Source organism: Homo sapiens, chromosome 6, assembly GCF_000001405.40.
Source record: "Homo sapiens chromosome 6, GRCh38.p14 Primary Assembly".
Lineage (NCBI taxonomy): Eukaryota > Metazoa > Chordata > Mammalia > Primates > Hominidae > Homo > Homo sapiens.
Genome location: NC_000006.12, coordinates 99,417,797 through 99,443,481, shown reverse-complemented (window position 1 = coordinate 99,443,481; position 25,685 = coordinate 99,417,797). Strand labels below are relative to the sequence as shown.

At 38.8% G+C, this 25,685-nt stretch overlaps 2 protein-coding genes and 1 long non-coding RNA gene across 34 annotated transcripts in view, besides 10 other annotated features; 2 read left to right on the top strand and 1 right to left on the bottom strand.

The window, feature by feature from the left end:
- USP45 (ubiquitin specific peptidase 45) overlaps window positions 1-11,157 on the top strand; it is an 85,522-nt gene extending 74,365 nt beyond the window's left edge. For 13 of the 17 annotated variants that reach the window (NR_144345.3, XM_005267170.5, NM_001346025.3 and 10 more), the window contains 3 exons: window positions 3,627-3,713; window positions 6,083-6,236; window positions 7,636-11,157. Coding sequence is in view for 14 of the 17 variants with exons in the window: in XM_005267170.5 (XP_005267227.1) it covers window positions 3,627-3,713; window positions 6,083-6,236; window positions 7,636-7,766 (372 nt within the window). In the remaining 3 variants the exon portion in view is untranslated. The remainder of the gene's footprint in view (window positions 1-3,626; window positions 3,714-6,082; window positions 6,237-7,635) is intronic. The other 4 variants (NR_144344.3, NM_001346026.3, XM_047419423.1 and 1 more) reach the window with 2 other exon arrangements.
- A 1,009-nt stretch (window positions 11,158-12,166) lies between these two features.
- PNISR-AS1 (PNISR antisense RNA 1) lies at window positions 12,167-18,611 on the bottom strand. The gene is made up of 3 exons (NR_125843.1): window positions 18,368-18,611; window positions 18,095-18,258; window positions 12,167-12,769 (listed from the first exon to the last, which is right to left on the bottom strand). It is a non-coding gene; the product is annotated as a PNISR antisense RNA 1 (long non-coding RNA).
- Window positions 17,172-18,371: an enhancer, noted in NCBI's record as "MED14-independent group 3 enhancer chr6:99872987-99874186 (GRCh37/hg19 assembly coordinates)". NCBI's record gives its function as "activates an origin of replication core promoter dependent on BRD2, BRD4, P300/CBP and CDK7 cofactors, and independent of MED14, by STARR-seq in HCT116 cells {active_cell/tissue: HCT116}" and the evidence as "EXISTENCE:reporter gene assay evidence [ECO:0000049][PMID:35650434]".
- Window positions 17,172-18,873: a biological region, named in NCBI's record as "MED14-independent group 3 enhancer GRCh37_chr6:99872987-99874186".
- Window positions 17,312-17,832: an enhancer, noted in NCBI's record as "NANOG-H3K27ac-H3K4me1 hESC enhancer chr6:99873526-99874046 (GRCh37/hg19 assembly coordinates)". NCBI's record gives its function as "activates a minimal SCP1, AML or CMV promoter by ChIP-STARR-seq in naive H9 embryonic stem cells {active_cell/tissue: H9 hESC(naive)}" and the evidence as "EXISTENCE:reporter gene assay evidence [ECO:0000049][PMID:30033119]".
- Window positions 17,315-17,609: an enhancer, noted in NCBI's record as "tiled region #16; HepG2 Activating DNase unmatched - State 1:Tss, and K562 Activating DNase unmatched - State 1:Tss". NCBI's record gives its function as "activates a minimal TATA promoter and a strong SV40 promoter by Sharpr-MPRA in HepG2 and K562 cells {active_cell/tissue: HepG2 | K562}" and the evidence as "EXISTENCE:reporter gene assay evidence [ECO:0000049][PMID:27701403]".
- Window positions 17,373-17,422: an enhancer, noted in NCBI's record as "active region_24856". NCBI's record gives its function as "activates an Ori minimal core promoter by ATAC-STARR-seq in GM12878 lymphoblastoid cells {active_cell/tissue: GM12878}" and the evidence as "EXISTENCE:reporter gene assay evidence [ECO:0000049][PMID:35858748]".
- Window positions 17,493-17,712: an enhancer, noted in NCBI's record as "active region_24855". NCBI's record gives its function as "activates an Ori minimal core promoter by ATAC-STARR-seq in GM12878 lymphoblastoid cells {active_cell/tissue: GM12878}" and the evidence as "EXISTENCE:reporter gene assay evidence [ECO:0000049][PMID:35858748]".
- Window positions 17,833-18,352: an enhancer, noted in NCBI's record as "NANOG-H3K27ac-H3K4me1 hESC enhancer chr6:99873006-99873525 (GRCh37/hg19 assembly coordinates)". NCBI's record gives its function as "activates a minimal SCP1, AML or CMV promoter by ChIP-STARR-seq in naive and primed H9 embryonic stem cells {active_cell/tissue: H9 hESC(naive and primed)}" and the evidence as "EXISTENCE:reporter gene assay evidence [ECO:0000049][PMID:30033119]".
- Window positions 18,063-18,532: an enhancer, noted in NCBI's record as "active region_24854". NCBI's record gives its function as "activates an Ori minimal core promoter by ATAC-STARR-seq in GM12878 lymphoblastoid cells {active_cell/tissue: GM12878}" and the evidence as "EXISTENCE:reporter gene assay evidence [ECO:0000049][PMID:35858748]".
- The window catches only part of PNISR (PNN interacting serine and arginine rich protein), a 27,259-nt gene continuing 19,747 nt past the window's right edge, over window positions 18,174-25,685 (top strand). For all 16 annotated transcript variants that reach the window (NR_136326.2, XM_005266912.5, NM_001322408.2 and 13 more), the window contains exon 1: window positions 18,174-18,267. The gene's annotated coding sequence lies outside the window, so the exon portion shown is untranslated. The remainder of the gene's footprint in view (window positions 18,268-25,685) is intronic.
- Window positions 18,353-18,873: an enhancer, noted in NCBI's record as "NANOG-H3K27ac-H3K4me1 hESC enhancer chr6:99872485-99873005 (GRCh37/hg19 assembly coordinates)". NCBI's record gives its function as "activates a minimal SCP1, AML or CMV promoter by ChIP-STARR-seq in naive and primed H9 embryonic stem cells {active_cell/tissue: H9 hESC(naive and primed)}" and the evidence as "EXISTENCE:reporter gene assay evidence [ECO:0000049][PMID:30033119]".
- Window positions 18,516-18,696: a silencer, noted in NCBI's record as "fragment chr6:99872662-99872842 (GRCh37/hg19 assembly coordinates)". NCBI's record gives its function as "represses an EF-1alpha promoter that drives an FKBP-Casp9 reporter gene in an ReSE screen in HepG2 liver carcinoma cells {active_cell/tissue: HepG2}" and the evidence as "EXISTENCE:reporter gene assay evidence [ECO:0000049][PMID:32094911]".

Sequence of the window (25,685 nt, the reverse complement as noted above, 5' to 3'; positions counted from 1 at the left end):
AATAACCAGTAACTTATTGCATTTTAAAATGTGTCATGTGAGATTTACTGCTCATCTAGCCATAATAGTTTATAAGACTTTCCTGATTAAAATTGTTTAATTCACAATATTTGAAAATTTAGGCAGCAGGAACCTAAATGGTATCTCTGTGTGTGTTTGTGTGGTAATAGAAAATAAGTTTTGTGGCTGGGCACGGTGGCTCCCTCGGCCTTTGGGAGGCTGAGGTGGGCAGATCACCTGAGGTCAGGAGTTCGAGACCAGATGGAAATAAGAGTCTTGCTCTGTCACCCAGGCTGGAGTGCAGTGGCACAATCTCAGCTCACTGCAACCTCCACTTCCCGGGTTTAAGCAATTCTCCTGCCTCAGCCTCCCAAATAGCTGGGATTACAAGTGCCCACCACCACACTGGCTAATATTTGTATTTTTAGTAGAAATAGGATTTCACCATGTTGGCCAGGCTGGTTTCGAACTCCTGACCTCAAGTGATCCACCTGCCTGGGCCTCCCAAAGTGCTGGGATTACAGGCATGAGCCACCACACCCAGCCCATACAATTTTCAAATAAAAATCTTAATTGTATAAAACAAATTATCAAGAAAACAAGGAGAAAACTTAAATAATTTTTTTGGGAGGGTAGAGGAGAGAATCTCCCTCTGTTGCCAGGCTGGAGTACAGTGGCACAATCTCGGCTCCCTGCAACCTCCAACTCCTGGGTTCAAGCGATTCTCCTGCTTCAGCCTCCCAAGTAGCTGAGATTACAGGTGTGTGCCACCACACCTAGCTAATTTTTGTATTTTTAGTAGAGATGGGGTTTCACCATGTCGGCCAGGCTGGTCTTAAACTCCTGACCTCAGGTGATCCGCCCACCTCGGCCTCCCAAAGTGCTGGGATTTTAGGCGTGAGCCACTGCACCTGGCCCTTAAATGAATATTTAACTTGACCTCTGTGTGAAAGACTTTCTAAATATAAAACCTTAAGAAGGAAATCTCAAGGAAAACTATTGATAGTTTACATATTTGCAACATTTTAGGTGGGATCCAGATGTGCGAGAGGAGATTTTTCTCCATCCTGCCATCCCTATCCACAGATTAGATTAAGTTCTGAATTCTTCCATAGCCAAGGTTGTAGAAGCTCAATGGAACTGAAATGACACAGAGAACAGAAGCAGATGTATTATGTCTTGTCATATCAGAGCGCCTAATGGAAAGGGTACATCTGCAGTGATTCTGTGTGAATAAGAGAGGATAATGCCAGATTGCAGAAGCTAATTTCATGATGCACCGCAGTTATTTTATATTTGGTACTTGCATCCCTGTTTAGAAACAACTTACAGAAATAATTCTTGCCCTTAAAGGGAAATATTTATGGACATCCATCTAGGTCCCTTTTTCTCTCAAGCTAAATGTAATGTCAGCAAAGCCACATTCTTATTCCCAGGGTTTGGGCATTGTAGGGAGCAGAGTCCCTAAGCAATGCCTGTGTTTCTAGTTCATTGACATCCCTGAACGCCTTCTCTATGGTAGCTTTAGGGCTGTATATCAGAAACATCCACAACACTTAAATGCAAATCTGAAACTGAATAGAGATCTTTGTCATAAATATGCCAAAATTTTAATATTGTAAGTATATAAAGAGTCTTAAAGATCAATAAGAAAAATATCAGACCCTAATAGTAAAATGGGAAAAGAATATCAACTGACATTTCTAGAAGTACAAAGTCCAGGCAAGTATGAAAAAGGTCCATCCTTCCCAGCAAAAGAAAGGCAAAATAAAATGGCAGATTCTTTTTTCAACCTGTCCAAATTAGCAAAGATGTAGTAGTGTTGATAAGGATGAACTGAGATAGAGACATTTTCATTTACCAGCATTGGGAGTGTAAGTTGGTAACACCTGCTAGAAAGCAATTTAGTAATGAATATGAAGAACATTGAGTAATTTTTTTTTTTTTTGGAGATGGAGTTTCGCTTTTGTCGCCCAGGCTGGAGTGCAATGGCGCGATCTCGGCTCACTGCAACCTCCGCCTCCTGGGTTCAAGTGATTCTCCTGCCTCAGCCTCCTGAATAGCTGAGATTACAGGCACCCACCACCACACCTGGCTAATTTTTGTATTTTTAGTAGAGACAGGGTTTTACCATGTCAGTCAGGCTGGTCTTGAACTCCTGACCTCAGGTGATCCACCCACCTCGGCCTCCCAAAGTGCTTGGATTACAGGCATGAGCCACCGTGCCCGGCCGAGTAATGTTTTAAACAAAACAATTTTTGAACAAAGCTAATTACTCTTGACTAAGAATCTACCACAAGGAAATAGATATACACAAAAATTTGTGTGTGCCCCACTCAGATCATGCCAGACGTAAGGCCTAGCTTAAATGTCCAATGTGCAGGATATCAAATTTATATTTTAATATGGAAAATGCAGTGTATCATTTCATTAAAGGGAAAAAGGCAGGAGACTGTATATGCAAATATAAGTCTAGATATTTTCCAAAAATTACCACCTAAAAAAAGATTCATCTTATATTAAAGTCCTTCACACAGTCTCTTGTATGATGGGGTAGTTTCTCAACAGCAAAGTACTGATTGAGGAGAACACAATAGCTGAAATGATCTCAGACAGTGCTGGTATTGGGTGCTTATAGAGGTCACCTGATGAAAAAGGCAAAGAAATTGAATGTAGATTAAATATTCCTGGGATATGATGTCATAATTTCATGTCAGCTATTTTCAAGCCTTCTAAAGATCACTTGAAAAAACAAATCAGTAGGTGAATACACTTCGGCAAAAAAAAAGGGTTTTTTGTTTTTAAAGAAAGATAAGCCATAAAAAAGCAACAGATCTACAGTAAACTTGTGATTAGTATGCAAATGAAAGATCAGTCATTGACGTCATGACAGGTTGCCCCTTTTCGTTTTTGTCTACCCATTCATTTCAGATTTAGGTATCTTTTCATTCCAACAGAGTCCATTTCTATTTATGGGTCTCCTCAATACCTTTGATATTTTATTAGCTAGTTTTTATTACCATTACATAATGCAAAGCATATACTTTTTAAGGTTTGCCTTTGAAAATTAGAAAAAGAGAGCATATTTAAGAACATAAAAGTACAATTTTATTGATGTAATATATAGCATTTACTTTTACTGATAAAATGTTTTGAGTGTTCAGGTTGTTTGTTTTAATGAATGAATATAATTGAATTTTAGAACTGAAAAGGACCTAATCTCATCCTTTTATATATGGAATCAAGTTGACAACCAGTCACTGAGTTAGGCCTAGAACACCAATCTGTTTACTCTTTAGTTGAATATATTTTCATGATAGCATATGTGTCAGTAGCTTAGCTTTTATATTGAATTTATTTTTCCATAAGTGTTGAAAAGCCATAATGAAAGTAACTATTCCCCCTATTGTTTGTGGTAAAAATCCCCATGTAAATGAATAATCTTTGCAGTAACAATTTATGAAACCTAATTTTTAATTTATTCATATTAATTTTAGACTATACATTAGTCACATTTTTTATCTATGAAAAAACTAAGTCCTACAATTTCTCTTTTGGTTTTAGTTAACAAAGACAATGCTTTATTTCTAATTGTTGCATTTCAAAAATGTTTTGGTCTTTTTAAGGCTGGCTTGAGTCTTCGTAAAGTAAACAGACATGTAGATTTTCCACTTATGCTCGATTTAGCACCATTCTGCTCTGCTACTTGTAAGGTACAGTATATTAAGATATTTAATTGATTTATAAATTAATATGCTTGAAAGTATCCTATATATTATTAGACAATGCTTTTTCTAAAAAAATAACTTCTCTTCTGAAAGGGAATTTTAATAGCCAGTGATTAAGTCAGTAATATGTGGAACACTTAATACATTGAATATGATTTTTGTCCTTTGGGAGACAAAGGAAAATTGAAAAGGTAAGGCATGAGGCATGATGGTTATGAAGGTCTAAGCTGTTTGTAAGTGCTACTGGAAGCTGATGGTTGCTGAGAGAAGGAGGTTTTGTGTCCTCGATTGTTCCTTGTGAACTGTTTAATCAGTAGTAGTTTTACCATTTGCGGAGTTCTGTATCTTTTGCAAATCAGTGTAGAAGTGAATTGTCTTTCGTGCCACTTCATGTGTACTACTGAGAGTGGTGTACTTGTCAGCGGAGTGTGATACTTCAAAACTGCTGCTACTTTAATAATTAGGTACAGAAAGCAGACTGGCTTATCATTGCTTATTTTACATGTAAGAATTGTGTAGATGAAGTAGATGACTTGGTCTTCCTTGAAGGAAGCAGTTATGGGGTAACATACTGTCCTGTTCATGATTACTGGCTAGAAGTCTAGATTTTGTAGTATGTAATAGAATGCTTATTGAACTTAATACTTTCAGCACATTGATAATCAAAACAAAATCATCTTAAATGCAATTTTTGGTTGAATTACAGTGTATCTGCTGTGGAATACCAGCACTATCTGTCAATTGTTAATACTCAGTATTCCTAGAATTTAATAATGTGGTAAATAATAATGAAATTTAACAATCTTTGTGTTAAACTTATGAAAACATATTTTTAAAAAGTACCTATTACGGAGAATTTCCAATAAACACAAAAGCAAATAGAACAGTACCATGAACTTCCAGCACCCAGCCCTAAAACCTTACATCCATGGCCAGTCCTGCCCTATCCACACACTAATTCACTTTCTTCTCCTTTATTATTTTGAAGCAAACATCAGGAATCATTTCACCCATAATATTTCACTATGTATCTCTAACAGATAAGAATTGCTCCCTCTACACTTTTTAACATAACCACAATATCATTTAATAATTCTGTCATATCACCTAGTGTTCATATTTTCAATTGTCTCATAAATGTGATTTTTAAAATCAATTATTATCCAGATAAGGACTGGATCTATTGTTCATTTGTGCAATTTTTAATTTTCACTTTTTGGAATTTCTTTTAAAATTTAATTTTGTTTAATAATTACATAACATATTTATATAGGTCCAAAGTCAAATGTACCTAAATAAGGTAAATTGAAAGATATCTGGCTTTTCTCCATGACATTCTACCTGTTTGCTCCTTCCCCTTATAGGTAACCATTTTAAAAATTATGGCTTATTCTTTTATAATTTTTTTTAAATATAAGCAGACAGGCATGTATATTTTCATCTCCCCTCTTAAATAATGGTAGCTGACACTGTGTATCCTTTTTTCTGCCTTACTCTTAACATTATATCCTACAGCTTATTCCATAGCACCATTTAGAGATAGTCTACACTCCATTTTTCAAGCAGCATAATACTCTATTGTGTGGATGCATCATAGTTTATTCAACCAGTCCCCAATTTATAGACATTTTAATTCGTGTTTTGATATTACAGATAATCCTGCAATTAATAGTGTGGTACATGTCTTTTGACATTTTGCTCATGTATTTGTGGGATCAAATCCTAGAAAAAGGATTAATGAATCCAAGAGTAATACATACAGAACTTAGCCTGATAACATGAAATATCCCTGCATAGGCCAGGCTCAGTGGCTTACGCCTGTAATCCCAGCGCTTTGGGAGGCCAAGGCAGGTGGATCACCTGAGGTCAAGAGTTTGAGACCAGCCTGTCCAACAAGGTAAAACCCTGTTTCTACTAAAAATACAAAAATTAGCTGGGCGTGGTGACAGACCCCTGTAATCCCAGCTACTTGGGAACGTGAGGCAGGAGAATTTCTTGAACCTGGGTGGCGGAGGTTGCAGTGAGCCGAGATCACACCATTGCACTCCAGCCTGGGTAACAGAGCGAGACTCCATCTCAAGAAAAAGAGAGAGAGAAAAAAAGAAACATCCCTGCATAGGGATTGTACCCTTTGCATTCCCATGTGCAATATGTGTGAGTGCTCTTTTCCCCACAAATCAGCCAACAGAGAACCTTGTTAAGGTTTTTCCATTTTGCCAGCCTAGTAAGTATGGAAAGTATCTCAGTTTTACTATGCATTTTTCTTATGTTAAGCAGATATACATTTACTTACTTTTCCTTAAAACAGTATTTAACAAATATTACTAATTTGGGTTTTTTTCTTTGTTTAAAAGAATGCAAGTGTGGGAGATAAAGTTCTCTACGGTCTCTATGGCATAGTGGAACATAGTGGCTCGATGAGAGAAGGCCACTACACTGCTTATGTGAAAGTGAGAACACCCTCCAGGAAATTATCGGAACATAACACTAAAAAGAAAAATGTGCCTGGTATGCCATCCTAAGTTTATTTTATTCTTAAAAACAAACGAATATGTGCTTCCTTTTCTGGGAGAGCTAAGTTATTATTTCATAGATGCCTCTAGTGGATTTGCTTGCTTGCTTTATTTTAACTTAATTGATTGATTGATTGATTGATTGAGACAGAGTCTCAGTCATCCAAGCTGGAGTGCAGTGGCACGATCTTGGCTCACTGCAACCTCTGTCTCCTGGGTTCAAGTGATTCTTATGCCTCAGCCTCCTGAATAGCTGAGATTACAGGCACGTGCTACCACACGTGACTAATTTTTTATATTTTTAGTAGAGACGGGGTTTCGCCGTGTTGGCCAGGCTGGCCTCAAACTCCTGACCTCAAGTGATTTGCCCGCCTCGGCCTCCCAAAGTGCTGGGATTACAGGTGTGAGCCACCATGCCCAGCCTCAACTGGATTCACCTTAAGAATTCCCTCTAGGAGTGCCTAGAAAATCTCAAATATTATGAAGACTGTACCCTTCTAGGTCATATGAGATGACATGGTATTTTAAGGTACTGAGTCATTGTGTATTATAGTGGAGTAGCATTTTATTTAACAATACCAAAAGTTTTTGAAGCCATATCAGATTGTCAGAAGAGTTGGAGTTGAAAATTTGCTGGCTTTGTTTATGGGTCATCCAACTAACTTTGCTTTTTTTGTTTGTTTTTGAAATGAGGTCTCACTTTGTCACCCAGGCTGGATTGCAGTGGCAGGATCTCGGCTCACTGCAACCTCTGCCTTCCGGGTTCAAGCGATTCTCCTGCCTCAGCCTCCCAAGTACCTGGGACTCCAGGCGCCTGCCACCACACCCGGCTAATGTCTGTTGTTTTTTAAATTAGAGACGGGGTTTCACCATGTTGGCTGGGTTGGTCTCAAACTCCTGACCTCAAGTGATCCACCCACCTCAGCCTCCCCAAGTGCTGAGATTACAGGCATGAGCCACTGCGCTGGGCCAGACAGCATTATTAATTATACCTATAATATTAATGCTTTGAAAGAATTTGTTCTAATGAGTACACATGGACACAGGGAGGGGAACATCACACACTGGGCCTGTCGGGGGAGGGGGGCTAGGGGAGGGATAGCATTAGGAGAAATACGTAATGTAGATGACAGGTTGATGGGTGCAGCAAACCACCATGGCACATGTATACCTATGTAACAAACCACATTCTACACAGATATTCCAGAACTTAAAAATATAATTTAAAAAAAAAAAAGTTCTTTTTGGAAAATGCTTAACCCAAGAAAAAACAGGCTTCTCAGGTAAAATTTGGCATTAGATAGAGTTTGTAATGAATATGTTATTGTTTGTAATTTAGAGTAAGAACCTAAAGCATACTTACTTTAAAATTGTACTTCTTTTTGTTTTGCTAGGTTTGAAAGCGGCTGATAATGAATCAGCAGGCCAGTGGGTCCATGTTAGTGACACTTACTTACAGGTGGTTCCAGAATCAAGAGCACTTAGTGCACAAGCCTACCTTCTTTTCTATGAAAGAGTATTATAACTATTAATGGTAATGATTATTTAGGTCATTTGTTTTTGAATGCCACAGTGATAACTATAATATATAATGTGCCTTTCTAGTCTTCCCTCTTCTGTAGGAATAGCATGTTCCTCAAATGGTCCTGAACTTTTTCACCATTTTGGTGAACCCTTTTAAAGTAAATTTACTCAATGCTTTAAAATTCATAGTCTTAAAATAAATGTGAATTTTGTTTCCAGGTATTTATTCTGGGGTACAAAAACTTCCCAGAATTTACAGTAGGAAAGGAAACCCCTTTATGATGTGGCTTATTATTACAAGCATTCAGAAATGATGCTGGCTAAGTCAAATCATTCCTTGAGACAGTGATTCCTAAATGTAATGCCACCTTCCTGAACTCTCACATATTCTATATCATGGTTATTTTAAAAAATATATTTTTAGCCTTTTGTAACCTTAGTCTTGTTTTGAGCAATCATATTCCGTGTTTTATGTGCTTTTATATTTTTATAATAAATATTAAAGTAAAACTATTAAAAATTGTTTATCCACGTACCACTTAACTTAAAATCATCTCAGGGCCATCTAGTGGTATATATGTGTACTACCATTTAGGAAACTGCTATAACACATAATTTCATGAAGTAACACCTAATACGGTGTAGTTCCCTGGTCATATTTTATACAATTCAACCATATAAAAGGGTGTCACTGTAATTTCAGTAGTGTGGGTTTACAAATAATCTGCTGGTTAGCTTATTACCTTGAGGTTTTGAAAAACTAGAATTATATTGAGGCATTTCATAAACATATCTCTTGCACCCTCTTCATGGTGGAGTTAAGGATAACTTGCAGGTGGTTGGCCAAGGCCCAATATAGATGATTATAACATTTAGAATTGGCAATTAGAAGTTGATAATCCATATAGGACCATAGGATAGCTTTGAAATATAAATTACCAAATTATATTTGTAAATGATAGAGAATTATATTCTTAACAGAAAAATATATACTTTTTCTACTTCTTGTAAATACTAAACACAGTTTTGGGGTTTTGAAATCACTTTGTCTTCAGCAAGCATCATTAATAAGTTCAGGTGAATTTAGCTTTTAATGGGGCATTAAGCTGGCATTTTTGATTTTCTTTTTAAATAATAGCAAAAATATCATTTTTCCCCTCTAGAATACAAATTATTGAGCTGTCAAAACTTGGCATGAAGAATATACTATTACTTAGGCTTAAATATCAAAAGATAATGGCTACTTCAGTGTCATATTGTTGAAATAGAAACAAAACTGCATGGTTCAAGCATCCTAATCATTAGTGCCAATGAATGATAGTGCAGGCAAGTGCCAGGTAAATGCCTAGTCCCACTTCATTCTCCTCCTGGGAAGAAAGGATAAGAATAGTGGCTGCAGATAAGGTATGGAAATATTTAATCAAGACTGTCTTAAACACATAAGCATATATAATGTTATCAAGGTTACCAGTGCTGCCTTTTGATATATGGATGAACATAACTGTAATTAAAGACGGTAATAGTATACAAAATGCAGAGCTTAAAAATGTCATTGCATAAATTCTATTTTTAAGATGTTGAAATGTTAGTAGTGTTTTTCTTGATTTTTAACAGTGAAATAATCAAGAAATATATCTTTAAGTTAATCTGCAAAGTCAGGCTGTGTTCTGTAAAAGGTATTTCACAGCATTTTCTGTTTAACTGTAATCTGTTATCATGGAGATCTCAGTACCAGAGCAGTGAATTTTTTGAAAAATATTGACTGTCTTTATTCAAGTCAGCCATCTTGGTAAGAGCAGTTTTCATCCCCCCACTGCCCAAATGTAAATATAGATCACCTAATTTTTCTTACAGAAAGATACTGTTAAGAGGCATGCACTTTTCATCGGATGGTCACTTGTTTCTTGTTTCAAAGACAAATATTTGGATAGATACCCATACTTGCTATGAGTCAGTCACAGTGCTGACACTATTTTAACATCATTTAAAATGGAAAGATCTACATAGATTTTTGACATTATTCCAGAAGTAACATGCAAGTAAGATATTTTTATTGTCATTTTCTTCATGTTAAAGGAGCTACTTATGAAACCTATTTTTTTATGGCCTAGAGTTTATGAGTGCTTTTTCCTTGTCTTCTGAAAATGGAATAAATTGGATTTTTGATACTTAAGAATTTCCTAAAGATAGCTTTTGTAACAGAGAAAGCATGTTAAATTACACATGGGTCTACCTTAAAATTTTTGTTATTATTTCCAAAGCACATTTGCAGGGATAGTAAATGTATATAGTAGCAAGTCTACTATAATAACAGTAGTTTCTGGATCACCTCAGGAAACAGTATAAATAAATAATAATGTTTACTTATCATCAACATAACTACCATAGTGTTTGAATGAATTAAAGTTTCATTAGCTTTATTTAGAAACTGGTTTACCCCAGCTTCCCGTTTTTTTCCAAATATAAAATGATAAAATATTGATTATGTGCCAATATTGTCATTTAATGTTCTTAAAACTTGTGAAGACCACCTTTTTAGGTAGCTGAGAAGAGTGATAGTTGGTATCAATTTGTTAGCCAGGCATGGTGGCTCATGCTGTTGGGAGGCTGAGTGGGGAAGATGCTTGAGCCCAGGAGGTCAAGGTGCAGTGAACCATGATCACACCACTGCATTCCTGCAGAGTGACGGAGTGAGACCCTGTCTCAAAAATAAATAAAAAGAAGACAGTTGGTATCAATTCAAAGAATAGTTGATGCCTGTTCTCTTATTTTAAATGTACCAACAGAGCTATTTTACTGTATTTAATAGTTCTTAGCTTCCATGTGTGATGATTTTAATCAGTGATTTTATGCAATAGCTGAAGAAAATTTTCTGAAGATTAAGCTGTGAAATGTATCAACCCTCATCTAATTTTTGTAGTACAAAATGACATCCTGATTCCTTTTAAAAATTCACGTTTGTAATTTATTTTTCTGCATGTATTGATCAAATAAGCCTAAACCAAATATGTGCAATAAAATTGAGCCTTTAGATAGTATCTAGTGCATTGTTAAAAAAGATTATTTCTAGATATTTATGATGTTTTTGTTTACGTAGAAATCATGAATTCAAATGTTTAAAAGATGACCATATTTTCAATTTTGAGTAATACATATTATTCCTACTGTTTTTTTTCTTTTGCCATGTTTCTAGAAAACAGCTGTGTAACTTATTGAGCGTTATTTTGGTGTTACTGTATAAAACATGCATAATAAATATTCTTATTTATCTCATGTTACAAGATTGGTCCTGGAATTTTCACAGTTTACGTTATTGACAGAATGTTTTATCAACAATGCATTTGCTTATGTCTTAGTCCACTCAGGCTGCTATAATAAAATACCATCAACTATGTGGTGTATTAACAAAAATTTATTTCTCACAGTTCTGGGAGCTGGGAACTTCAAGATCAAGGTGCCAGCAGACTTGGGGTCTGGTGAGGGCCCACTTCTGTTCATAAAGACAGTGCTTTCTTGCTGTGTCCTCACATGGGAAAAGTACAAGGCATCTCTGTGGGTCCTTTTCCATGCAGCCCATTCATGAGGGTTCCATCCTCATGACCTAATCACTTCTCAAAGGCCCTATCTCCAAATACCATCACATTTGGGATTTGTGAATGTTGTAGGGGACGTAAACCTTCAGTTCATAGCAGCTTTCTCAGCTATATTCAAAATACCCTACATATTTTAGAAATTCTCTATTTCAAAACAGTTTATGGGCCACTTTACCTCAGATTTCAGTATCTACCAAGGACGATCATCTTCCTTTCAGGGGTTTCTTAAAAGGTGTATTACTTAGACAGGATAATTATTAAGACAAGGGTAAGGTCTTGCACCAGCAATTAAGAAATACTTTGCCTACCCATTTGTGTCTAAACTTCTTCCAGATCATGAAGCTCTTTGAGATTATGATGAAAGTTAGAGACTATCTTTTATTTGTTTAGTCATTTAGTAAGTATTTTTTAGGCCAGGCACAGTGGCTCATGCCTGTAATCCCAGCACTTTGGGTGGCCAAAGTGGGCAAATCACCTGAGACCAGGAGTTCGAGACCAGCCTGGCCAACATGACAAAAACCCATCTCTACTAAAAATACAAAAATTAGCTGGGCATGGTGGCACAGGCCTGTAATCCCTGCTACTTGGGAGGCTGAGGCAGGAGAATCGCTTGAACCCGGGAGGCAGAGGTTGCACTGAGCCAAGATAGTACCACTGCACTCCAGCCTGGGTGACAGAGACTGTCTCAAAAAAAAAAAAGTATTTGTTGAATACCTGTTGTGTGGTAGGTACTAGGGATACAGCAGTCAACATAAGAGCCAGAAATCTAAAAGGTGAGGAAATACACATTCTAAGAATGTAAGGAAAATTTATGTCAATGGTAATGATATGGAGAAAAATCAAGCAATATGGACTCCCTATGAAGTCATGCAGAAATTAAGGTACAGGGGATGAAGATATCCTAGAGATAAAAGGCATGGTGATATTAGTACTGATATTCCTGAAAGAGAAAGCTGAGTGTTGTAGGAAGGATGGGGTTTTAATTCTGGGGCCCTCTCTTCTGGCAATATAGAGACGGAGAAGGGAAGTCTTAACATCTGTATGTTCCCAGAAAAATGTATCTCCCTAATTCTTGTATGTAATTTTGAAGGTTCATGGACACTTCTGAAGCCATTTCATACGTATTTTAAATTGCACCCAAGAAGAAATATCTGAGATGTTTGCATTCCCATATGTATTAGGATAGGCTGAGTTGTGCTGCAGTACAACCCCAAATCCCAACTCTTAAGGGACCGGGGCCAAAAGTCCCATCAAGGTAAAGTTTTATCCTCCAAGACCAGGCTCTCTGGAAGTGCTATATCAGATTTGGATGTTTGCTCCTACTGTTCTGGAGACCCAGGAACCAAAAGGATATCTTCTGTTTTCCACATACTTAATGTACAGTGGTGGAACTGTATCTGCAACAAACATTCTGAATGGGGAAGAAGAATGGGAGATACAGTTAGGATCCCTAAGTCTAGGTATGGGGTATATTCATGATTAGGGTTCTTTTCTATCTCCTAGGAAGAATTCCCTTGTATATTGTTCTCCGTGACTCTAGAGTCCAACCTCTGGGAAAGTTTTGTTGTTGTTTTTTTTTTTTTTTTTTAATCTTCATGGCTACATCTGAACAGCTACTGAGGGATATATATGCCAACTTTGGGAGTTGCACAGCTTTTTTGAGACCATTTCTTAGATGACTAGGGACTGTAATTTCTCTTAATTTGGAATAGCCACAAGTTGTTGTAGCCAAGGTTTGTGTGTGTTTTTAATACAATTCTTAAAATTTTAGTAGGCTTCTCATCTGTAGATAGATTTGAAGGGGTGGGTTGCCCCTCCACACCTGTGGGTGTTTCTCGTAAGGTGGGACGAGAGACTTAGGAAAGAAAAAGACACAGAGACAAAGAAATAAGGGGACCCGGGGAACCAGCATTCAGCATATGGAGGATCCCGCCAGCCTCTGAGTTCCCTTAGTATTTATTCATCATTCGTGGGTGTTTCTCCGAGAGGGGGATGTGTCAGGGTCACAAGACAATTGTGGGGAGAGGGTCAGCAGACAAACACGTGAACAAAGGTCTTTGCATCATAGACAAGGTAAAGGATTAAGTGCTGTGCTTTTAGATATGCATACACGTAAACATCTCAATGCTTTACAAAGCAGTATTGCTGCCCACATGTCCCACCTCCAGCCCTAAGGCGGTTTTTCCCTATCTCAGTAGATAGAACGTACAATCGGGTTTTATACTGAGACATTCCATTGCCCAGGGACGGGCAGGAGACAGATGCCTTCCTCTTGTCTCAACTGCAAGAGGCATGCCTTCCTCTTATACTAATCCTCCTCAGCACAGACCCTTTACGGGTGTCGGGCTGGGGGACGGTCAGGTCTTTCCCCTCCCACGAGGCCATATTTCAGACTATCACATGGGGAGAAACCTTGGACAATACCTGGCTTTCCTAGGCAGAGGTCCCTGCGGCCTTCCGCAGTTTTTGTGTCCCTGGGTACTTGAGATTAGGGAGTGGTGATGACTCTTAAGGAGCGTGCTGCCTTCAAGCATCTGTTTAACAAAGCACATCTTGCACCGCCCTTAATCCATTTAACTCTGAGTTGACACAGCACATGTTTCAGAGAGCACGGGGTTGGGGGTAAGGTTATGGATTAACAGAATCTCAAGGCAGAATAATTTTTCTTAGTACAGAACAAAATGGAGTCTCCCATGTCTTCTACTTTCTACACAGACACAGTGACAATCTGATCTCTCTTGCTTTTCCCCACAAGTTTGAATCACAAAAGATTTTAGGTAAGAACAGGCAGTCATTGAACATAAGTTTACCTTACTTTCTCCAACCTGGCCTAAATGGACAATACCTGCATAAAGCCCAATGGGATCTATTGTTAAATAACTAAAGTATTATTTTATACCCTCGTATTTCATTATGCCAGATTCACTACTATCTAGGAAATGCTTAAGTAACTATATTAAGAATCAAAGAGTAGGCTGGGTGCGGTGGCTCACACCTGTAATCCCAGCACTTTGAGAGGCTGAAGTGGGCAGATCATGAGGTCAAGAGATCGAGACCATCCTGGCCAACATGGTGAAACTCTTTCTCTACTAAAAATACAAAAATTAGCGGGGCGTGGTGGCATGCGCCTATAGTCCCAGCTACTTGGGAGGCTGAGGCAGGAGAATCGCTTGAACCCAGGAGGCAGAGGTTGCAGTGAGCCAAGATCACGCCACTGCACTCCAGCCTGGCAACAGAGTGAGACTCCATCTCAAAAAAAAAAAAAAAAAAAGTTGTAATTTGTAATGATGTGCCTGTAGCATACTAGCTTTAAATATTTTTCATCCTCCATTGTATTATGTGGTAAAATATATACAACATAAAATTTACCACTTTAACCATTTTTAGGTGTATAATTAGGGTCATTAAGTGCATTCACATTTCCAGAATTCTTTCATCATCCCAAACGGAAACTCTGTACCCATTAAACAGTAACTTCTCATTCCCGCCTTCTCCCAACTCCTGGGAACCTCTATTCTACTCTCCATCTGTGTGAATTTGCCCATTCTAGGCGCTTCATATAAGTGAAATTGTACAATATATGTCCTTTTGTGTCTGGTTTATTTCATCTTGCATGTTTTCAAGGTTTATCCATATTGTAGCATGTATCAGAATTTCATTCCCTTTTAAGGCTGAATAATATTCAATTGTATATATATACCACAGCTTTAAATTTTTATTAGGTTTTAAGATGGATGTGATATGGCACCTAATAACACTATAAAGGTTCAAATCTCAAGAAACAGCAATAGTTCCTATTTCGATATATTTTCCACATATCATCTTACTTAGCTTATTTCCATTTTGCTTTAAGGATAATTTGTTTCTGTAATAATGGAAGGTGACATGTCCTCCCCTAGAATTTTCTACTTCACTCCATTCATTCATTCATTCATTCATTCATTCATTGAGACAGAGTCTCGCTGTGTAGCACAGGCTGGAATGCAGTGGCACGATCTCGGCTCACTACAACTTCCACCTCCCGGGTTCAAGTGATTCTCATGCATCAGCCTCCTGAGTAGCTGGGCCACCACACCCAGCTAATTTTTGTATTTTTTTGTAGGCAGTTTCCCCATGGTGGCCAGGCTAGTCTCAGACTCCTGGCCTCAGGTGATCCACCCTCCTTGGCCTCCCAAAGTATTGGCATTACAGGCGTGAGCCACATTGGCCAAATTTTCTACTTTAAACACTGAAAACAGAGGAAGTTAATAAAAATTTTAACCTATAAAGTCCCCTGGTTGTTAGTCATTAACAGCAGATTGTCAGATAAGACTGGTAAAATGATGGCTGCTAAGCATTTGATGATCCAGGCGCAGGATGATCAAACTGCAGCAGATCATGCACGTGACAGCTGCTTACATAGAAATTTAACACCACAACACACATTCTTAGAAAATTCTGTGTTGAAATACATACACTTACCTGATGTGTCCATAAGATCATAATGTTACGGGGAACTCTTAGAACAGAGTGGTTAGAGAAAGGGAACTGGAATTGGAACTGTAAAATTCATTTTCTGGTCTGGTAAATAGCAATTGCTGAGGGTGTCTCATTAAACTGGCACAAGGAACAAAATGTGAGGTATTTAATAATCCTCTCCACTTCACAATGCATTTCCAAAATGACTGGCCTACATTAGGATCATTGTTGAACATATTAATGCAAACATATAGCAGATGTAAAAATTTCTGTGTGCAAAGCAGATGCTGGCCACTTGGAGGGCAGAGGTGAGGGGGAAATCCCTTACCCGAAAATTGCCTCACCTTTACTAGGGAAACAAGCAAAGAATTACAATATGATTATAGAGAGTAGGAACATGACAGTTTCACTAGGCCAATCAGGTTTCTCTAAGAAGATAGAACATTCCTCTGATGAGAATGTTTCTCAGAGAATTAAACTTGAAAATCAGACCTGATGCAAAAAACTTGGAAAATGCACAAAATCACAGAGCAAAATTAGAGATTACTGATAACATGTGGTATATGTCCTTCTAGTTTTTGCTCCATACAGTGGTTTTTATTTATTTTATTCTTTTGAGACAGAGACTCACTCTGTTGCCCAGGCTGGAGTGCAGTGGAGGGATCTCGGCTCACTGCGACCTCTGACCCTGAGTTCAAGCAATTCTCCTGCCTCAGCCCCCCTAGTAGCTAGGATTACAGGCGCCTGCCACCACGCCCAGGTAATTTTTGTATTTTTAGTAGAGACGGGGTTTCACCATGTTGGCCAGGCTGGTCTTGAACTCCTGACCTCAAGTGATCTGCCCGCCTCGGCCTCCCAAAGTGCTGGGATTACAGGCGGGAGCCACCAAGCCCGGCCCATACAGTGATTTTTTAAAATCAGACTGTCCAGTAGTCTTATTTGTGCTAAGTGGAAATTAGGGAAAGGGTCAGAGAAATAGGGATTTCCTTTTGCCTTCAGTAGTATCCTCATGAACCTGCGTCATGGTGTTGTTAGGTGTAATTAATGAAGGTTTCTCACAAGATAAAATGTTATTTTGAGGACCACGTCCGTGGATTGGAGGAAAGGCAGATGGTTAGCTAGTGACGACTTTATTATAATGCTAATTCAGGAGTATCTGGGTCTCTAGTGCTGAGGAAAACTGAATTTTCATGCAAAGGGCATCTATATTTTCACATCTGTATCTTTATCCATCTAGCTGTGCTCTTACTATTTTGTTTCTACGGTAATTTGCTATTTCTTTTGCACGACAATTGCCCAATGAAATAATTCAGATACTTCGTGCACTTTGTCACGCAGAAGTTTTCATGTTACTCTCTGGAAAGGCACTTCCCAAGATGTAGCTAATAAACACTGTATCTTTGGAACATTTTTGTTTTCCTTTTAACTTGTAGCTCCTAGCCTGGAAATTGATACTTTTGACACTTGAACGTTGTTCATATAAAAACACTGTGAAATCAACATACTGTCTTTGAGGAATGGCATTGCATGCGTCCTTTTGAGAAGCCATCTTGTAGTTGAAGGAAAGCAGCAGGACGGAAACCAGACTTCCCCCCCACGGTTCCCTAAAAGTCACGGATAAAGAATGAAAAACCGGGACTAGTTAAGCCAAGGAGAGAAGAGCAAGTGTTCCCGGAAGGGGGCGCGATGTGTTGAGGTTAACAAAGAGAAAGACAGCTGCGGGGTCAGCTAAGGTCTCCGCTTTCGCTACCGACCCAGACTGCTCACCTTCACAAACTCACGTTTTCCTCAAGCGGCACCCTCGGCAGCGCTCAAGTGAGAGTATTCCATCCTTGGAATACTCCGAGAAGGTTCGAGCCAGAAGTTGGATTGCCTGAAATGCCGCTTCCAGCGCACTAAGTAACTTGAACTGCGCTAAGCAACTGGCCAGAATTGGTTTGGTTTGGTTTGACCCTGGGGTTCCTCCGTAGTCTGTAAGTGGAGTTGCGAACTCAACCCCTTCTCCAAGGCGGGAGTGTTTCTAGGAGGGAACATACTTCCCCTTAAAGGAAGATCACGTTGCTAAAGTAAAAAATTTGAAGGCGCCCTATGTGTAGAACACTTACGTTCTTGGCTTTCTGGCCACTATAAAGATGGGTCGGGAATGGCGCCAGCTACGTTAAAAAGTAACGTGCAGGAATGGTTCAGTTGCCCGGTGTTGACCAGAGTAGAGATGGTTTTGCCCACAAAAAAAATGGCGCCGAAACATGTCAATCCGCACAATCACGTGTTCACAAACCTGGATGAGAGATGGTATGGCTTCAGATGACAAACGGATGTTATTATTCTTTACTTCCGGGTGAGACAAATCGGGCGCCATCTTGTCTTGTTCCCGAAGAAGTAGAAGCATCGAAAGCGTTGGAGAGGTGTTACCGGAACGGCGGCGACAAGGGTGTTCCCGAACTAGAGTGGGTAAGTGATGGAGAACAATTATACGTGGGCACTTGCCGGACCATTACAACGTTCTTGGTTTCTGTGGCGAAGGTAGCATAACTTAAAATAGGCTGCGTACGCTGCTTGGCGCGACCGCTGGAACCTCATTCCTTTAAAGCGCTGCGGTCCGCCAGACTTGGTAAATCAGAGCGCTGCTTTCGCTGAAAAGGAAATGTCCTTGTTAAAGAGAGTGCTCACGGTCCCATCTTCTCACAGAGTTTCCTCTCGGACGAGAAGGGACTAATTGTTGGGTTCCTGACCGGCCGTTAAACACTGCGCGTGCGCAGTGGGAACCCCCTTGTGGGAAGGGGGTTCATGGGGGCGGAGGAGGCGGGGGCTCGCGACCTGGAGCTTATACCCTTTGAGGCTCTGACTACGCAGGCGCAGTTCCTTAGTTTGTGTTTTTCGTGTGTTCTTACCCAATGATGGATATTATGTGTTAAGCTTCGCTAAAGGTAGTATCCAATATTTCAGTTTTTTACCCTGTGGTGGATAGTATCGTCATCTGAACAAATTGAGCATTAGACAAATTTGTTTGTGGGTTGTTAAATTAACATTCTAGCTTAAGATTTTAATTCAACATTAATCTTTTACATCTTTTTACTTCCCCCTGCCCCCAAGTAAAACAAAATAAACTTAGAATTCCTCATTTGAGTGCAGCAGGGCGAAAACAACAGCAACCAGACTACTAAAGATTTTACTTGTGGAATTTTTTTGTAAAGTGGCAAAGGGCTTATAGAGAAAACAGTTCTTTAAAGATGTTCTTGAGAGTTTTTTTTTTTAACTTACTAATAGACTTTATGTTTTAGAACAGTTTTTGTTTACGTTGAGCACATACGACGTCCCCACTACACACACAGTTTATCTTCTTATTAATAGATGTTAGTATGGTACATTTGTTGCAACTAATGAACCAATAATGATAAATTATTAACTAAGGTCCATAGTTTATTCCTACTTCCTCACATTTTACCTAAAGTCCTTTTTCTGTTCCAGGATGCCAGCTAGGATATCACATTACATTTAGTTGTTGTATATTCTTAGGCTGTATATTCTTGGCTGTGACAGTTTCTCAGGCTTAACTAGTTTTTGATGACTGTTAAGGGCTGACTTGTGCCCCTCTAAAATTCGTATCTTGAAGTCCTAACCTCAGTACCCCAGAACGTGACTGTATTTGGAGAGAGGGTCTTTAAAGAAGATGAGGTCACTAGGGTGGACCTTAGCCCAATATATTAATAACTGCTGTCCTTATAAGAAGAGAGTAGGATACAGAGGGATGATCATGTGAAGACATAGGGAGAAGACAACCATCCACAAGCCAAGGAGAGAGGCCTTAGAATGAAATCAACCCCATAGAGCTTACACTATACGCCTCCAGAACAGTGAGGAAATAAATTTCTGTTGCTTAAGCCACCCAGTCTTTGGTACTTTGTTATGGCAAGCATACCAAACTAATACAGTGACCTTGACATTTTTTGAGGAGTATGGTCAGGTATATTGTAGGGTGCCCTGCTATTGGAATTTGCCAGACGATTTTCTCATGATTAAAATGGCCTTACGGACTATATCAGGGGAAGATCACAGAGGTAAGATGCCCTTTTCAACACATGCTATCAAGGATACATACTATCAAGGTGACTTATCACATTATTACTGACCTTGATCATCCTTCTGGAGTAGCGTTTGTTAGATTTATCCACTGTAAAGTTACTTCCCCCACCCCTTTTTATACTGTTCTCTTTGGAAGGAAGTCACTTTGCAGAGCCCACGCTTACTGAATGGACAGTTGTGCTCTTCCTCAGTTAGGGTGGAATATTTACATAATTTATTTGGAATTCTCTGTGGGAGATTTGTGTCTTCCCTCACATTTATTTGTTAGTTTATTTTATCATATCCTTATGGGCTTGTGGATGTTTATTACATAACTTATATTATAATCCAGTACTTCTTTATTTTGTTGCTCAAATTGTACCAGCTTTGGCCATTGGCAGCTCTTCGAGTTGTCTACTGTTCTCCTTTGACATGTTCCTATCAATTTTTTTTTTTTTAGCACTTTATTGCTTCCTGGCAGTATACATGCCCCAGACTCATCTTTTATATTTCCTGTCGCAGTCCTAGAGTCAGCTATTTCTTTAAAGATCTCTGATTCCTTTTATTGAAGAATGGTATTAAAACCAAGTTCTCGTGCCTAGGTGTGCTTGTTGCTACTAGGGTGTCATTTTGGGCGCTCTCGCTACATTTATTTTTAAATTATTATTGGGGGGGTATTTATAACCGACTCTCCAATTCTCCAGTTTTTTTTTTTTTTTTTTTTTTTGAGACAGAGTGTCACTCTGTTTCCCAGACCGGAGTGCAGTGGTGGCACAATCTTGGCTCATTGCAACCCCTGCCTCCCGGGTTCAAGTGATTCTCCTGCCTCAGCCTGCTAAGTAGCTGGGACTACAGGTATATGCCACCATGCCCAGCTAATTTCTGTATTTTCAGTAGAGTGGAGGTTTCGCCATGTTGGCCAGGCTGGTCTCGAATTCCTGGCCTCAAGTGATGAACCCACCTTGGCCTGCCAAAGTGCTGGGTTTACAGGCATGAGCCGCCATGCTTGTCCTCCACTTTTAAAATAGTCTTTTGAGCTACAAGCTGCAAGTATTTCAGTATATACTAAAATGCATGTCACATAAAGTAGCAAAATTTCTGTTTTCCGTATTTCGAATGATTACAAGATTAATTTTTACCAGTGCCATTTCCACCTAATCTGAATTAAACAAATAAATTCTTTTTTGACTTTGAGGTCAGTCAACTCATGTAAGACTGAAATGTCAGGGGTGAAGAGGATTGTTGTATTTTCTGGCTTCTCAGCTTTGTGGTTGATTTGAGAAATATTTCATCCTATGCATCAAATGATAGATGTGTTTCTGTAGCTCTTTGATTTTGTAGTTGATGCTCAAGGACTTTAAAATACCACATTTTAATTCTCATCCATCTCTGTCACAGTCTCTGAGTGACTTTTGTAAATATTAATGATTGTCATTTTGGCCACACGGGGTGGCTCATGCCTGTAGTCCCAGCACTTTGGGAGGCTGAGGAGGATGGATCATTGAGGCCAGAAGTTTGAGGATAGCCTGGGCAACATGGTGAAACTCCATCCCTACTAAAAAATACAAACATTATCCTCGCGCGGTGGCATGCACCTGTAGTCCCAGCTACTCGGGAGGCTGAGGCATGAGAATTGCTTGAACCTGGGAGGTGGAGGTTGCCGTAAGCCGAGATCACACTGCTGCATTCCAGCCTGGGCGACAGAGTGAGAATTTCTCAATAATAAATAAATGATTGTCATTTAAACAAGTTGTTTTAGGACCTCAAAGCGATGAAGTTCTAATATAGATACATTTAAGAAAAGGATAAAATAGATGATGGCCATTTCTGGTTGTATTAGTTTTCTAGGGATATTGTAGCAAATTACCACAAACTGGCTGATTTCAAACAACAGAAATTTATTCTTCCACAGTTCTGAAGGCTAACAGTGTAAAATTGAGGTTTTGGTAGGGCATGCTCTCTAATGGCTTTGTAGGGGATTCTTGTCTCTTCCTAGCTTTTGGTAGTTCTTGTCAATCCTTGATGTTCCTTGGCTTATAGAGCCATCTACTCCCAATCTGTACCACTGTGGTCATGTTACATTCTCCCTGTAAGTGTCTTATGTCTCCTTTTTAATAAGGTCCCTCCTAATCAAATATGAACTCACTGTAATTTGAATACATCTGCAAAGACCCTATTTACAAATAAGGACATACTCACAAGTATCACTTGATACTCACAAGTATCAGGAGTTAGGACTTCAGTGTATCTGTTGGATGGGGACACAATTCATTCCATAACACTGGTGATAGCTATCACTTGATTTTTTTGCGGCAGTGTGTGGTGGCTTTGATGATCTGATACAAACCTTGGTTATTCATCTTTCTGTTCTTCCCAGACCCCATTTGTTTTCCAAGGAAATAGCAGTTCACTTTACCACATGAAGGGAAATACTGTTAGGAAAGTCTTGCAGCCTTGCCCGTCATTAATCAAATTTCTCCAAACTTGAAAACCCAAGCCTAACAAGCTTTAAAATTAAGTCTAAAGGAAGAGTGAATAAATTGGAATCAATTTTTGATATTATAAAATCACAGTAGCAATATTGGAATGTCATTTTCATGGTTGAACATTAATGTATTTACTTGCTAACATTTCAGTGAATTATAAATATTTAACCACTTAACATGGACAAAACATTATGGAGAATTTAAATTATTATAAAATGTTTTCTCTCCCCTAAAGAAGATTTTTGTTTGAGCCAAGACAAAAACATGAAAATTTAATGCAGACCCTCTATAAAAAGTATTATTGTATGTCATCTTTAACTTATTAAATGAAAGCTTTCAAACAGTGGTAAAGAAGAGGGTAGCAAATGCCCATCCTTAAATTATCAACATTTTCCAAATCATTTTTAAACCAACTTGTAAATGTCATTTTTAATGGTACAACGTTATGTTATTTTGTTAAACCATAGTGAAATTTAAAATATGTATCCATTGATTACTGTGTGTTGTGCCTGTGTATTCCTTCTGTTTTCTAGATTTTGCATTTGTTGGATTTGTTAGTAGTGAAGATACTATGGTGAAGATGAAGGAAGAAAGAGTAGTGTTCCTAAATCCTTGCCATAAAATCACTAGTAATCTTACTGTTTAATTAAACAATAGTTAATGAAACTCCTTATCAAGCATTGTGCTATGTGCTGAAACATATATAAAAGTTTAAGTATTTCCTAGTTTTAAAACAAGTCTTTACTACAATCTGTCTCTTTTCTACAAAATTTTAATGTAAGTGCAAATTTTGTTTTCATGACCAGAGTTACCTGTTTTGGATAAGATTATCAAAATTTACTCTAAATCATATAAGAAAATGAGACAGAGAACATTTGCCCAATGCATGAAAAATGATGCCACTTGAGGCCTTTTCTTTTTAAGAATGCAGTTATGGGCCGGGAGCGATAGCTCACGTCTGTAATCCCAGCACTTTGGGGACTGAGGCGGGAGGATCACGAGGTCAGGAGATTGAGACCATCCTGGCTAACAGGGTGAAACCCTGTCTCCACTAAACTACAAAAAATTAGCCGGGCGTGGTAGCAGGCGCCTGTAGTCCCAGCTACTCGGGAGGCTGAGGCAGGAGAATGGTGTGAGCCTGGGAGGCAGAGCTTGCAGTGAGCCAACATCGCACCACTGCACTCCAGCCTGGGCAACAAAGCGAGACTCCATCTCAAAAAAAAAAAAGAATGCAGTTATGTATAGAAAATTACTAAATTACAAAATCTTCTCAAAACTGCCAAGCTCTAGGAATTGGAAATAGGAATCAGGTATTTTTAATCTTTATTTTATATTTTTCTGTATTCTTTTAATTATTTTATTCTGTCAATGTGTATTTTTAGAAAAAATACAGATTTTTAAAGATACAAAGAATCAAATGAAGCTAATGAACACAGTCCATAATGACTAGTACAGGCAGTACAAATTACACAAACTTCTTCAACTGTGAGACATTGGGCAAATGTCCTCTATCTCATTTTCTTATAGGATTTAGAGTAAATTTTGATAATCTTATCCAAAACAGGTAACTCTGGTCATGAAAATGAAATTTGGACTTATATTAAAATTTTGTAGAAAAGGGACAGATTGTAGTCCCTTTTTTTCGCTTAATGCAGTTTGTACGGTAATACATGCCAGTATGTAGCAGTCTACCTTATTCATTTTAATGGCTGAATAGGAATCAACTGTATGGTTCACTCTAACTTATTTAACTTGCCTTTAATTTAATGTCACTGAAACCAGATGTTTACTGTTACAAAATATGCTGCCAATTTTTGAATTATGGTATGAATATTCACATTCATGGTTTAGGACCCTGCGGTGGAATTGCTGGGTCAGAGGGATGTGCATGTACGTTTTGTTAAGATGCCATAATGGTAAATTGCCCTTTTTTTTTTTTTTTTTTTTTTTTTTTTTTTTTTTTTTGAGACGGAGTCTCGCTCTGGCACCCAGGCTGGTGGAGGGCAGTGGTGCTATCTCAGCTCACTGCGACTTCCACCTCCCGGGTTCAAGCAGTTCTCCTGCCTCAGCCTCCGGAGTAGCTGGGACTACAGGCCAGTGCCACCATGTCCGGCTAATTTTTTTGTATTTTTAATAGAGACGGGTTTCACCGTGTTAGCCAGGCTGGTCCTGAACTCCTGACCTCAGGTAATCCACCTGCCTCAGCCTCCCAAAGTGCTAGGATTACAGGCGTGAGCCACCGTGCCCAGCCAGTAAATTGTCTTTTAAAAAGACTAACCATTTGGTGTTCCACCTGTGCCCTCATCCAGTAGTCATCCTCTGTAACTAAATCAAGTTTCTCAACTCCAGACTTAATTAAAGCGCTTTAATAAATAGCCTCTAACTTCCTTAACTTACCATCACCTTCTTTACTGTATTTTTATTCTGCTCTGTTTTTCCCAATTTCACATCTTTTTTCTATTTTTCTCAGCCTAAGTGTCCCAAACATTATATTACTTGAATAGTAGCTTCCATCAAAACTTTGGGGAAGAAAAGCTTCTAAAAATATAGCAAAAGTAGAAGTGGCTGTTCTAAACATACAGAAAAATGATCATAGGTGATACAAATCAAACCCTTGAAAATATGCAAATTAAAACCTCTGTTCATAGGAAAACTTTTTTTTTTTTTTTTAATAAAAGCTTCAGCTGGGTGCGGTGGTTCACACCTATAATCCCAGCACTTTGGGAGGCTGAGGTGGGTAGATCATTTGGGTCAGAAATTCGAGACCAGCTTGACCTGCATAGTGAAACCCCGTCTCTACTGAAATACAAAAATTAGCCAGGCTTGGTGGCGAGCAGCTGTAATCCCAGCTACTCAGGAGGCTGAGGCAGGAGAATCGCTTGAACCCAGGAGGCAGAGGTTGCAGTGAGCCCAGACTGCACCACTGCACTCCAGCCTGGGCGACAGAGCGAGACTGCCTCTCAAAAAAAATATAATAATAATAATAACAATAAAAGTTTCAACCCATGAAACAGGAAGACAAATTTAGACTAAAGAATTCTTTCAAAGATAAAGTGAAACCTCTGTAAGTTTTAGATTGCTTCTGGAAAAGAAAATGGAGTTGAGCAGAAGTGGGTTGGCTTGATCACTTTTTTTTTTTTTTTTTTTTTGAGATGGTGTTTCGCTCTTGTCGCCCAGGCTAGAGTGCAATGGCACAATCTCGGCTCACTGCAACCTCCGCCTCCCAGATTCAAGCAATTCTCCTGTCTCAGCCTCCCAAGTAGCTGGGATTACAGGAGCCCGCCGCCACGCCCGGCTAATTTTTGTATTTTTTAGTAGAGA